The sequence below is a fragment of the Homo sapiens genome, chromosome 3 (genome assembly GCF_000001405.40).
Source record: "Homo sapiens chromosome 3, GRCh38.p14 Primary Assembly".
NCBI lineage: Eukaryota > Metazoa > Chordata > Mammalia > Primates > Hominidae > Homo > Homo sapiens.
The window spans coordinates 174,229,168-174,243,314 of NC_000003.12; the positions used below are offsets into that span (position 1 = coordinate 174,229,168).

Below are 14,147 nucleotides of genomic sequence, written 5' to 3' on the forward strand. Positions count from 1 at the left end.
ACTAAATGCACTACTATTTCTAAAGGACTTATAACAAGATCAAGTATGCCAAAAGTGAAAAAGAAAGAACGTGAACTTTGGTGCCAGGCAGAAGTAGATTTGGGTTATGAATCTGTCATTTAACTAGTGGTGTGATCTTGTGCAAGTTTTTTTAAAATGTGCAATCTCAGTTTCCTCATATGAAAATGAGGACTGGTAGACATCAAACCTCACTCATATAATATACATTCATCCTCTTCTCTTTCCGCATCTCCATAAACAGTTTACAAACATTACTGCTTATGCCAACATCAAATTATGCCCTCCCCAAATTAATAAAAGTGAAATGTTAGATTTGTTTTCATTTACTTAATTTGACTTTACTTAATTTCATTTAATTTGAACATTGTATGCTTTCATGTCTTTGTCTTAGGCAAAATTTTCTTGCTAATGAATACTAAAAAGTAAAAGAAAAAAACTGGCAGATATATGTATTTGCAGGATTTGCTCAACTTCCTTAAAACATGATTAGAATTTTAGTGAATTAATTTAAGGAAGTTTTAATTCGGAATAAAGCAAGAGGACATAACAAAATTCCATTTTACTGTAATTGCGACTATGTGATGTTGCTTTTGAAATAATTTCTTTTGGTGGGAAGGTAACTGCAATTTCTTAGCCTTGTTTTACATAAGCCTCTTGCTTTTTATTGACTGTGTGTGGAATCTATCCACTTCTGTGTGAATAGAATACACTTGAGCCTCCAGTTCTTACGTGCTGCTAATCTGACAAGAAATATACTCATCCCAAAATGATTAATTAAACATCTAGAGAAATCCTTACATTCCTTCTCAACCAAAACTATGCTTTTCCCCATTTCATTGTAGTCTTCAGATGCATTTTTAAAGGGAAATTTCCTACAAGTGAAGGTCTCACAGGTCCATATATGGCAGTGTGGTGAAATGCAATAAGACTCTCACACTGATACATTGAGCACTCACTATATGCAGAGATAGGTGCCCCATGAGACCTGACCCGGGAGAGGAATTACAAAATTGAAAAAGCACAACTTGAAACTTTAAAGGGTGACTCAGAAGTGAGATGAATATTTTCCTAGGAAAATTTTAATCATGAACTCTTAAACTTATTTGTGAAAAACATGTAATTTCATTAAAAATTAATGATATACAAATTAAAATGAGATGTCATTTTCCCCAATGAAACTATTAAAGATGAATACAAAATGTATAATACCCAGTGCCAAGAGTAATACAATGGTATGTATCTAACATTCACTATTATTGGTGTGTAAACTTTCTGAGAAAAAAAGTTGTAATATTTACCTATCTTAAAATATGAATAGATTTTCCTTCAGTGTTTTCATTATCAACAATTAAAAAATGAGAATAGGAAAAAAGATTTATGCACAAAAGTATTCACCTTGGCATTATGTGTTTTAGTGAAGTATCAGCATTGGTCTAATGTACAGAAATAGAGAAATAGCCTGGCATGGTGACACAAGCCTGTAGTTCCAGCTACTGAGGGGGTGGAGGGGAAGGCAAGAGGATCGTTTGTGCCCAGGAGTCTGAGGCCAGCCTGAGAAACATAGCAAGATCCTTCTTTTTATGGATAAATATTTAAAAAAAATAGAGAAATAAATTAAAAAATTATAGTACATTTATAAGAGAAACTATTATCCTCTCATTACATACTATATTGTATATTGTAAATGGCTTTAATGGTGTAGGGAATTGTTTTCTTGTTTTGTTCAAATGATAATTTTGAATTTTGAATCTTGTGACTAATTTGTTAGTCCTGCAAAGGCAGTCTAGTCCTCAGGCAGGAAGGGGGTTTGTTTGAGGAAGGGCTGTTACTGTCCTTGTTTCAAAGTTAAGCTATAAACTAAGTTCATCCCAAAGTGAGTTCTGTCTACACCCAGGAACGAACAAGGATACCTTGGAGGTTAGAAGCAAGAGGGAGTCAGTTAAGTCAGATCTCTTTCACCGTCATAATTTTCTCAGTTATAATTTTTAGGGCAGTAATAAGAGAAAAACTTCAGCCGAATTAAATTTAAGAAGTTAAGTGAGTAATGAATGATTTGCGAATCGGAGAGTCCCAGAAGCACAGGAAATTCGCCGAGACTCCGGGTGTGCCTGCTGGTCAGAACACATTTATAGATAAAAAAGGTAAAGTGACCTACAGGAATTGGAAGCGAGGTACAGAAACAGTGAGATTGGTTACAGCTCAGCGTTGGACTTCTTTGAATGCAGTTTGAACATTCAGCAGTCTATGAGTGGTTAATGTACGGTCGCTGGGATTGCCCAACACTCAGCTATTGTTACAGGTGCATACTACTAAGCTAGGTTTTCAATTTTGTCTGACTATTAAGCTAGGGTACTGCTTATCCACAAGGACTCAAATACAGAAGTACGCAGTCCTTCTCAGGCCATATTTAGTTTGCGGTTTCAATGTGGATAGGATTTGGTAATTCCTAATTCTCTGCATAGCAGCCCTTTTCCAAATCTGAATGTCCCTGGGCTCATGATCCCTGATCTCCAGGGCTCTCATTCCTGTTCCCCCAGCCCAGAATCTTAGCCTGGCATGTTGCTCCCAAGTCACGCCAGCCTAGCTGGTGTTGACACGCTTTCAAAATTGCTTCCCTTTTCGTATTGGCTCTACTCTGCAAGGTTCCTCTCCTAGGTGGTTGTTTAGAGGAATTATTTTGCCTTTCTAAGTCTAGGTTTTCTCCTCTATGAAGTTACATATCCCTTAACTTATGGGATAGTGATTGCTAGCCATTTAAATAGTCATCTGTTCTGTGAAAGGACTGTACATGCAAAGCAGCCCCCGGAATAATGAAGGAGCCAAGAAACTGTGGGAGCTTTCATGCGCGTCTGTGTGAAGACACCACCAAACAGGCTTTGTGTGAGCAACATGGCTGTTTACTTCACCTGGGTGCAGGCGGGCTGAGTCCGAAAAGAGAGTCAACGATGGGAGGTAGGGATGGGGCCGTTTTATAGGATTTGGGTAGGCAAAGGAAAATTACAGTCAAAGGGGGGTTGTTCTCTGGCGGGCAGAGTGGGGTTCACAAGGTGCTCGGTAGGGGAGCTTTTGAGCCAGGATGAGCCAGGAGAAGGAATTTCACAGGACAATGTCATCAGTGAAGGCAGGAACAGGCCATTTTCACTTCTTTTGTGGTGGAATGTCATCAGTTAAGGCAGGAACTGGCCATCTGGATGTGTACGTGCAGGTCACAGGGGATATGATGGCTTAGCTTGGGCTCAGAGGCCTGACAGGAGCCATAGGCTGTTGGCCCTCTAAAGGTTTGCTAAAAATTACTGACATGAAGCAGATTGATTAATAGGAGAAAACACATACAAATTTAACATGTATACATGGGACCCTTCAGAATGAAGACTCAACTTCCCAAATACTTACAGAAATGAATATACCATCCTGAGGCCACAGTAAATAATGTAGGCTCATAATGTGGCCGGAAACAGGTAAATCAAGTTTAATGGCAAGACAGGTTGAAAGAGAGAGAAAGGCCGAAAACAGGTAAATTAAGTTTAATGGCAAGACAGATTAAGAGAGAAAGGAAGATTTTGGCTAGCAAAAGTGGCCTTGTCATGTAGATGAAGCCTCCCTCAGGGAGAATAGATGGTAAATGTTTCCTTTCAGATTTTAAATGGTTCCGACTCTCAAAAGAGAAAGGAACAAGCCTGCATTAATGGAGATTCTCTACAAATGCAAATTTCCCCAACTTCGGACAGCTTTGCAAGACCACTTCTGTCAGGCTGGCCAAGTGGCAGCCATTTCAAAATGTGACAAAGAAATATATTTTGGGATAAAATGCTTTAATTTCCTTCAAAACCAAAGAACAAGGTAGACAAATCTAATTTCTCAGTAAAGGATGTTTTATTGAGGGGACTTACAGACAGAAGGGTGCTCTGGGGTGGCAGCAAGACAGGAAGATCTTTGCACTGTTACTTCCCAGATTCTGGGTTTATGTACCTTAAGGAAAGTGTGTATGTGCTCCAGTAAAAAAAGTTCAAGGTGCCAGGCACAGTGACTCACGCCAGTATCCCAGCACTTTGGGAGCCTGAGGCGGGAGGAGTTCGACCTGAGGTTGGGAGTTCGAGACCAGCCTGACCAACATGGAGAACCTCGTCTCTATTAAAAATATTAAAAAATTAGCTGGGAGTGGTGGCGCATGCCTGTAATCCCAGCTACTCAGGAGGCTGAGGCGGGAGAATCGCTTGAACCCGGGAGGCAGAGGTTGCAGTGAGCTGAGATCACGCCATTGCACTCCAGCTTGGGCAACAAGAGCAAAACTCTGTCTCATAATAATAATAATAATAATAATAATAATAATATAAAAAATAAACAGTTAAAGGCAAACCTCTTGAACAGACAAGAATGCTATATGTGTCATACAATTTGTGTGATAACATCAAGGTTGACATATTCTTACACTAGGGACAGTCATCAATAAAGTTGTAATCGGGAGGCATTCTGGGGACTGAGGTTAATCAGAAGTCACCATGGTGTATTAGCATTCAAGATGGAGTCACTTTTGTCTCCACAGCATCTTTTTTGGGTCAAAGAATTGACTTAAAGATGTGGAAACTTCAACAGAACTAGTTCACTGAAGGCATATAATTTAATGGTATTATTAAGTCCACAAACGTAGATATTGCCACAAAATATTACCATCTTTGCCATTTAATTCTTTAGTAGTGATAAAAATGCAGTATTTATTACATACTAATTTCTAACTTATTTTTTGTTGTGTCTATTATATGTTGACATACAGTTTCTTTTTCTTTTATTCTTTATATGGGCATTTAAACTTTAGTTTTCTATAGCTCTTTCCATTAACCTATTTTAAGTTCCATGTGAATAGAAGTGTTTTGGCAGTGAATCTATTTGAGTCTGCAGCAACCTCAATTCTTGCTTCCTCAGAAGAAAGAATTCAACCAAGGGGCATAAGGCAGAATGAGAAACTGAGGCAAGTTTTAGAGTAGGAGTGAAAGTTTATTAAAAAGTTTTGGAGGAGGATCAAAAGGAAGTTAGGGTACACTTGGAAGCAGGGTACACTTGGTCAAGCAGGTGACTTGAGAGATCAAGTGCACTGTTTGACCTTTGACTTGGGGTTTTACGTGTCGGCATGCTTTTGGAGTCTTACATCCCTTCTCCCCTGATTCTTCCCTTGGGTTGGGTTGTCTGCATTCACAGCATCCTGCTAGCAATTGGGAGGGAAGCATGTGCAGTGTGTTTACTAGAGTTGTATGCATGTTCACTTGAGGCGTTCTTTCCTTACCATCCAGATGTTCCAAGAAGGTCATGTAACAGTTAAACTCCACGATTTTGCCTCTTAATGCACATGCTTGAGCCCACTTGCCCAACTCCTGAGATCTTACCATGAAGCTGATGAGCACTAGTTTTAGGTTTTTTCTATCTATTGGGAGACTGCCTTTTCTTGGAGCTGGCTGCAAGCAATTATTTTAGAGAAACAATGTAACAACTGCCTATCACCTGATGGTTGCCTGACATTCCTGGTGGGAGTTGGGGGAGCCCTCTCCTGCTCTGTTCATGTCTGACTAGCTACCTAGTGAAACAAAAGCATATGAAATTTAGTCATTCCACACTAAATCATTCAGTTATGCTTTTAGCACCAAATTAACGTAAAACAAAATTATATAGTTTATAACCTCTATTTTAAAATATATAAGAAAATCCTCTTTTTCCAACATTTTATTTTGAATTTTTTGATACTCCCTTTGATGCATTTTTTATATATATATCATCCTTCTGAGCTTTGTAAAATAAAGGAATCACCTTTTTTTTTTTTTTTTTTTTTTTTTTTTTTGTAAATAAGAGTACCACCATTCTAGTGACAGCCAGTTTTTTTTAGTATTACCACAGCATCAAACCAACATGTGGAGCATCTGACCTGCATTCTCTTAACTTTGCTGCTGACTTGGGCTGAGAAATCAGATTTCATATGTCCAGGAGTTTGCAGTTGTCTCTTCCAAATTTATTTAGAAATCTACTCTTGATAATGTTTAACCCAATTACACAGGAGATTAAATAAGAATTATCTACCTCCTTACCCCTCCTTCATATACACCAAGTCTGTAACTCCCACTCTTACCATCTCTCTTCTCCTGAACTTTTCCTCTTGGCTAAGACCTCAGTCCTAGAGAGTAATAATTAATTTCAGCAAGCCTGGTGTGAGGAAAAAGGAACAACAGAAAGCACATAATTCTTAATACAGTTGCTTGTTCACACTCCAGTTCTACTCTATATCTGTGTGAGATAATGTGATTCTAGCTTAGTGATTTAGCAAACCATTTTTAGTACATGTCATCCAGTGATTTCCTTTTAATACCCTGGGCAGACGCATCTTACATTTAGATTCCTAAGACATAGAAAAAGTAAAACAGAGGATCTGTTTTAATACAACACCCTTCTCAACTGGCTTGATATTATTTTATCTATTTATGTTGTTTGTGATTACAAATAGGACATATAGTTGCACTTTCCTTTTAAAAATGTGGATTTGTTAACATATTTTCTGTGTTATAGATTTAGTAAAATCATAAAAGGCTTAAATCTAAGGAGACTAGTGTCTTCTAAAAGAGTAGAACTAAGAACAGACCAAATTCCCAGTAAGTTTGAGGAACGTGACCTAAAAAAGGCAAGAAATAGAGTTAAGCTCTTTAAAACTCCACAACTCCAATTCCCCTCACGCTTCTTTATTATCTCTATAGCATAGTCTTCTATCTGATATAAAATATATTTGCTGGCTTATTTATTTACTCCTGTCTTCCTCCACCTAAAATGTAAATTCCAAGTAGTCAGGGAGTTGGACTCTTATTCACTGCTCTTTCTTCAATACTTAGATTGTGCTGGCACAGAGTGGGTCCTCAATAAATATCAATAAGTCGTGATCAAATGAATGTTACTAGTATGCTTTTTTGGAATCTATAAAGATTTGAGGCCTACCATACAATCAGTTTTGATAAATATGCCTCAGGTGCTTGAAAAGAACTGTGTTCTCTATAGGATACATGTGGTTCAATACCAGTATGTTACTCGAACCTATTATCCAAAAAACATGTAATTCAAATGATGAAATCCAAATTCTCTATGCCTATATATATTTTTTTCCTACCTAGTCTGTTAAATGCTCAAAGCATTATATGAAATTCCTATAATTGTTTTTCCAGATGTTTCCCTTTTATTATTAATATTTAAAATTACTGTATTTCTAAGAGTCTTATGTTACATGTTTTAATGTAACATCAGAGACATGTAAAGATTGGTGACAACTATTTTCATTGTAGATTGTAACTCTGATCCAAAAAATGTCCCTCTTTTTAAAAAAATTTAAGTTGTTTTATATTGTCTTTCTTGAATTTTACTTTTTCTAGATTTAATGCTGTTCTTAGTGCTTGCTTTGAGTCTGTGTTTACTTGTGAAGTTTTGTCCATTCATTGATTTTTACATGTCTTTAATATGTTACAATCAATATGTATTTGGATTTTGTTTCTTAACCAGTCACAAATTCTTCACCATTTAAAAGTAGAATTTATAACAGTTACATTTATTGTAACTGCACTCTATTTAGTCTTATTTGAACTTTTGTTATTTTATTATTTATCACTGTTGGTAGTTTATTTTCCTAGTTTTTATTATATAGATTCTATGGCTTACTTTTAGTTTCCCAGTTAGTACACAATTTTCAAATCTGTAAAAGTAAGTACATCTATATACACTCTGCTTCTAAATCTAAAGTTCAGTTCATCAATTCATTAATCTACTATTTATTGAGCACCTATTATATACTAGAAAATATTCTAGGCAGTTGAGATACATCAACAAAATACACAACACATGGAACTTTGTTCTAGTGAGTTGCTTTAAATAAATTAGAAATAATTATCATATAATTAATTTATTGATAAAGTAGAAAATTAAATAAAGTCTTTTTTGCTTTTCTAATTTAGTGTAAGGAATTTCAAATACTTTATCCTCACTTTTATTCCCTGCCATCCCAATTTAAAGTCATTGTCAAAACAATCTATGTGTTTAGACCTGAAAGCTTACATTAATATTTATTTACAGCTTACACAGATTCTATTCCAATATTACATTTTGTTTTGTTCATTTGTCTATCCAAAAACTACAATTTACTTATACTGTTAATTATGTTTAACAATTTTATATCACACTAATCCTTTAATGACACCATTTTCCTATGTTAAAATTCTTGCTTTTGATTCATCATTCAGTCAGCTGCAATTCACCTTCAAGTAATATTTGCAAAATGAACATAACTTTCTGAGCCAAGCATATCTGAAGTTAGCATTCTATTGTTTTTATATGTAAATAAATATTTGGTTAGGATACATTTTTTTTTCTTCTTGAGACAGTCTTACTCTGTCACCCAGCTGGACTGCAGTGGCATGATCTCTGCTCACTGCAACCTCTGCTGTATGAGTTCAAGTGATTCTCCTGCCTCAGTCTCCCAAGTAGCTAGAATTACAGGCACCCACCATAATGTGTGGCTAATTTTTGTATTTTTAGTAGAGTTGGGGTTTCACCATTTTGGCCAGGCTGGTCTCAAACTCCTGACCTCAAATGATCTGCCTGCTTCAGCCTCCCAAAGTGTTGGGGTTACAGTTGTGAGCCACCACGCCTGGCCAGGATAAAATTTTTAGGTTGTAAGTTGATATCCTCCCCTGAAAACTCTGTAGCACCTTTTCTATTGCCTCCAGATATTCCATGTGGCAAAGAAGTCAGTTGCTAATAAGACTTTTAATTCCTTTGTGGACAACATTTTTACCTGTATAGTTGACAGTAGGATGTGCTAAATATCTTGATGAATCAAATATTTTGTTCCAGTAGGTATCTATGTAGATTTGCATATTTTCATACTAGGCCACTGGAATAAGGACAGTTCTTTTCACCTCTATACTCATTTGTTTTTGTTTTATTTTGCCTTCAAACTCAGGTAAGTGTCATCCATGTACTTTCTTTTTTTCCTTGCTAATTTGTACTTGCTAATTGCCTCCTTTGCAGCTGCCCTAATGTCTTCCTCTGGAATGTGTGTCTAAACTCTTAAGGTTAAATAGACATTTCTTCAATCTCTACTTTCTGTTTTTTCTTTTTTATTTTTTTTTATCATTTCTTCACTATTATGAAGTTCTTTTTTTTTTGTTGTTTGTTTGAGATGGAGTCTCCCTCTGTTGCCAGGCTGGAATGCAGTGGCACAATCTCAGCTCACTGCAACCTCTACCTTCAGGGTCCAAGCAAGTCTCCTGCCTCAGCCTTCTGAGTAGCTGGGACTACAGGTGCGTGCCACCATGCCCAGCTACTTTTTGTATTTTTAGTAGAGATGGGGTTTTACCACGTTGGCCCGGATGGTCTCAATCTCTTGACCTTTGATCCGCCCACCTTGGCCTCCCAAAGTGCTGTGATTAAAGGCGTGAGACACCGCGCCCAGCCTATGAAGTACTTCTTATGTTTTTTTCTCCCTCTTACAGTTTCCATTTTCAGTTCAGGCTCTAATTTATCCTTATGACTTTGAACCCAATTTCATAGACAGAGGATGCAAAATAGTATGTCTATATTTGTTTTCCAATTCTTGTAGTAAATCAGTTTTAAAGATAAGCACTCACTCTCATTTGTACAGATAATAAGATGATATCAACTGTCTGTCTCTCTCTTTCTTTAATTTTCTATACTTAAACAAAAGGTCATCTACACTGATTATATGTTTGCTACTCAATGGGGTTGGTGGAATGTCTTGGCTTTCATTATTGACTACCTGGGAGCTCATTAGACATCCATTTCTTACCTACAGCTAAAATGCAGAATAATATATTGCCTAGTTCTTTCTTTCTTTTTTCTTTCTTTTTTTTTATTTTTTATTTTTGATAGAGTTTTACTCTTGTCACCCAGGCTGGAGTGCAGTGGCGATCTCAGCTCACTGCAACCTCCGCCTCCCGGGTTCAAGTGATTCTCCTGCCTCAGCCTCCCAAGTAGCTGGGATTACAAGCATGCGCCACCACACTCGGCTAACTTTTGTGTTTTTAGTAGAGATGGACTTTCACCATGTTGGCCAAGCTGGTCTCAAACTCCTGACCTCAAATGATCCTCCCACGTCGGCTTCCCAAAATGCTGGGATTACAGACATAAGCCACCGAGCCTGGCCTATATTGCCTAATTCTAAGAACTTACATGTATGCATCTAGCACGCTTGTACTGTATTTCTCTTGGCCCCTTTCATCTAGAATTTATGCAAGAGAAGGTCCTGTTAGTAGGGGTTAAACATTTGGATTCAGCTATTCCTAATTGCATTTTAGTTATTACATCATGTAACCCAATACATTTCTTTTGTTGTTGTTACTCTTTTTTGCTTGATTCATTTTTAATGTTTCCTTTTGTATTAATTTTTTAAATCCTGGATAAAACAATAGTTATTATTTCTTCATGTGTTTTAGCATGGCAGAAAGAAGGGTAGTCGATATAATTGTAAATGCTAAAAACTGAGTCAGCCAGAGTGTACACCAATCAGCTATCCAGCCTTAGATCTAAGAAGAGGGTTTGGCTCTTAGACAAATTGACTGAGTAGGACCAAGAACAAGTCAAACTCATATTTTGACCAACTGCAGGGATGGAAACCATGCTCAAGGAAAATAAAGAAAAAGAAAACATTAAAAGTAAAATAATATTTTTCCTTTTAAAAATATTATCCAGCAAAAACAATGGATTATCTTAGTAAAAGAAAAGCAGATCTCTGAAAATGATACAGGAACCCCAGAATATAATTTTTAGAAATTGACACTCTTTATAGAATGTATACTACATTAACTCTGAAACAGAGGCATAAATCAGAGAAAATAGATTTAATAAAAAGACATGAGGCTGATATTTAACAATGGGTGTGTATAATAAGGAAGGATACCAAGAGAATTAAACAGTAATGATAGATTTTAAATTCACAAAAATTGATGCTAATAAAGAGTGGAATCAATACAATAGAAAACTGATTCATTGCATGCAGGTCATACTTAAAAAGTTCTCTTGTAATATAGAAGAAAAAACAAAGTTGAAATGAAGAGAAAGAACATAATACATATGATATTAAACATATAGATCTAACTTTAGAATTTTCCAAAGAAAGATATAAAATTGGAATATAAGTATAATAAAATGTAATATGGAAGAATTTTCTTGAGTTGAAAAATTGGCTCAATTATCCAAATTGAAAGAGTCCTCCTTATAATAAGCAAGGATTAAAAAGAAATATCTACATTTAGATAAATCCTGAAAAATTTTTAAATTACCAAGAACGCTGTCATTATACAGGCCAGATAGGAAAAAAGTCCGTAAGAAAAAACAAAACCAACAATAGGATATCTAGAAAGTAACAAAAAATCGCACACCCAGTCTCTCTGCAACTGTATTTCAGAATAGGATAGAGCAGCATCCATAGAGTTTTGGGAGAAAACATCATGACCCATGGATATTACACTTAAGAAAATTTCTTTTCTGGAATATTCAAGGGCTCAGAATATATAGCACCCCTGAATTCATTTTGAAAGCAAAGTAGGGGTTCAAGCACATGTTATATGTAAGAGAATTTGTGGGTCTTTTCATTCTTTGTTTGATTCCAACTCAGGAATCCAGGTGGACTGCTTCCTGTCAGGGGAATTTTGCAACCCAGGGGATATACATGGCTCTACCATATTCCTCTGCTGTTTCTTTTCTGCTTCCACATTTCCACCAATTTCCAAAATCTCTTCCTTGTGCCACGTCTTCTACTTTACCATTGAGATGGCCTCTTGTAACTTACTTCATAGTCATTAAGTAAGTAGTCACTTAAAATAACAGGTGCCATCCTCATCCAACCCCTTCTAACAATGACAAAACTTAGTTTCAAGAGTTTAAAATAGCTTTGAACCCTACATTTTTATTTATTTCCCTACTAGAAAAACAGAGAAGATAAAGTCTCTTTATACTCATTTTAACTGCTAGGAAATTTTATTATAACTCTCTGTAACTTTTTAAAATTCTTATTCATAACCGGAGTCATTGTTTTTTTCTAATATGAAACAGGTAGTTTATTTTTGCCTGTTTTATATATTTTTTCTTTTTCAGGTTTTAAATTTTATTGAGTGTACTGCTTTTATAGTAAATATATACTTGATTAAAATTTTTAAAAATAGCTTTCCCACAGTAGAGATATGGATGCCCAATTAGGTGTGTTGACCTTGGACTTCTGAGCCAGGATTCTTAGAAGCCGAGTTTTCTAGCCATCATTTAGACCTGCACTTATCCACCAATTAAAAAAAAAAAAATGAGCACCTTCCTAATACTTCGTATATATAGAAGAACAAAATCAACACAGTCTTTATTCTCAAGGATATTACAATCTTTTGGGCACACAGGTAGTAAATTGATAAATCCCTACCCCCCAACATCCAACATATCTTTTTTTTTTTTTTTCTTTTTGAGACGGAGTCTCGTTCTGTCCCCCAGGCTGGAGTGCAGTGGCACGATCTCGGCTCACTGCAAGCTCCGCCTCCCGGGTTCACGCCATTCTCCTGCCTCAGGCTCCCCTCCCGAGCAGCTGGGACTACAGGCGCCCGCCACCACGCCTGGATAATTTTTTGTATTTTTAGTAGAGACGGGGTTTCACCGTGTTAGCCAGGATGGTCTCGATCTCCTGACCTCGTGATCCGCCCGCCTTGGCCTCCCAAAGTGCTAGGATTACAGGCGTGAGCCACCGGGCCCGGCCCCAACGTATCTTTATCAATGTGGATGTGTGCCAGCAGAGCACAGTAGCTCTGTTTCATGAAGCACTTCTTAACTTATTTTCTCACAGCAACCGAGCATAACGGTTTTGAGCATGGACTCTGGAGTCAGAGAATCTGGGTTCAAATTAAGACCCTACTACTACTTACCAGCAGTGTGATTTTAATGTGTTGATAATAATACTGGCCTAGTAGAGTGCATCGGGATTGAATGAGTCAACAGTTGTAAATTGTTTAGACTGCTTGGTACACCATAAATCAGGGGTCCCCATCCCCCAGGCCATGGACCGTGCCAGTCCATGGCCTGTTAAGAATCAGGCCGCACAAGAGAATCGCTTGAACCTGGGAGGCAGAGGTTGCAGTGAGCCGAGATTGCGACACTGCACTCCAGCCTGGGCGACAGAGTGAGACTGTCTCACAAAAACAAAAACAAAAAATCAGGTGGCATAGCAAGAAGTTAGCTGCAGGCAAGCAAATGAAGCTTCAAATGTATTTACAGCTGCTCCCCATTGCTCACATTACTGCCTGCGCTCCATCTCCTGTCAAATCAGTGGCAGCATTAGATTCTCATAGGAACCTGAACCCAATTATGAAGTGTGCATGCAAAGGATCTAGGTTGTGTGCTTCTTATGAGAATCTGATGCCTGATGATCTGTCACTGTCTCCCATCTCTGCCAGATAGAACCATCTAGTTGCAAGAAAACAAGTTGAGGGTTCCACTGATTCTACATTATGGTGAATTATATAATTATTATGTATTACAATGTGGCAATAATAGAAATAAAGTGCGTAATAAATGCAATGCACTTGAATCATCCTGAAACCATTCCCGCCCCCATCCATGGAAAAATTGGCTTCCACAAAACTGGTCCCCAGTGCCAAAAATGTTGGCGACCAGTGCCAAAAATGTTGGCGACCACTGCCATAAATGATCTAACGGCGTTAAATGAAATCCAGCATGATAAACTTTATAATTACTTCTAGAAATAAAAGATTCTTGCCATAGCTTAACTCCCTGCCTTGATTTTCATTGTCATTTCAAGCTTTTTATTTTTTCTATGTCCTTTTTCTGAATTTGAAGCAAAGATGAAAAATGATATGTTGGAGTTATTCAGTCAGACACCATTTTTAATCACAAGTCTTGGAAAACTGAATAGATTATCTGAGCAGGCCCAAGCCACTGGTGTATTTAAATGTTCACATATAGACATTTCTAATACCCAAAAAGAAAGTATGCCCTTTGCCTATTGCTTTGATAACCCTTTGCTGTAAGGAAGGAGATCATATTTAAATTCCTCCTTTCAAACATGTCTATCTTCCCAGATCCAGGGCTCACAAAAT

General features: G+C 37.0%; 1 protein-coding gene across 36 annotated transcripts in view, besides 4 other annotated features; it reads left to right on the forward strand.

Moving 5' to 3' along the window:
- The window catches only part of NLGN1 (neuroligin 1), an 898,421-nt gene that overhangs the window by 833,216 nt on the left and 51,058 nt on the right, over positions 1–14,147 (forward strand). The window lies entirely within an intron of this gene.
- Positions 1,735–2,461: an enhancer, noted in NCBI's record as "NANOG-H3K27ac-H3K4me1 hESC enhancer chr3:173948692-173949418 (GRCh37/hg19 assembly coordinates)". NCBI's record gives its function as "activates a minimal SCP1, AML or CMV promoter by ChIP-STARR-seq in primed H9 embryonic stem cells {active_cell/tissue: H9 hESC(primed)}" and the evidence as "EXISTENCE:reporter gene assay evidence [ECO:0000049][PMID:30033119]".
- Positions 2,462–3,186: an enhancer, noted in NCBI's record as "OCT4-NANOG-H3K27ac-H3K4me1 hESC enhancer chr3:173949419-173950143 (GRCh37/hg19 assembly coordinates)". NCBI's record gives its function as "activates a minimal SCP1, AML or CMV promoter by ChIP-STARR-seq in naive and primed H9 embryonic stem cells {active_cell/tissue: H9 hESC(naive and primed)}" and the evidence as "EXISTENCE:reporter gene assay evidence [ECO:0000049][PMID:30033119]".
- Positions 3,187–3,912: an enhancer, noted in NCBI's record as "OCT4-NANOG-H3K27ac-H3K4me1 hESC enhancer chr3:173950144-173950869 (GRCh37/hg19 assembly coordinates)". NCBI's record gives its function as "activates a minimal SCP1, AML or CMV promoter by ChIP-STARR-seq in naive and primed H9 embryonic stem cells {active_cell/tissue: H9 hESC(naive and primed)}" and the evidence as "EXISTENCE:reporter gene assay evidence [ECO:0000049][PMID:30033119]".
- Positions 3,913–4,637: an enhancer, noted in NCBI's record as "OCT4-NANOG-H3K27ac hESC enhancer chr3:173950870-173951594 (GRCh37/hg19 assembly coordinates)". NCBI's record gives its function as "activates a minimal SCP1, AML or CMV promoter by ChIP-STARR-seq in primed H9 embryonic stem cells {active_cell/tissue: H9 hESC(primed)}" and the evidence as "EXISTENCE:reporter gene assay evidence [ECO:0000049][PMID:30033119]".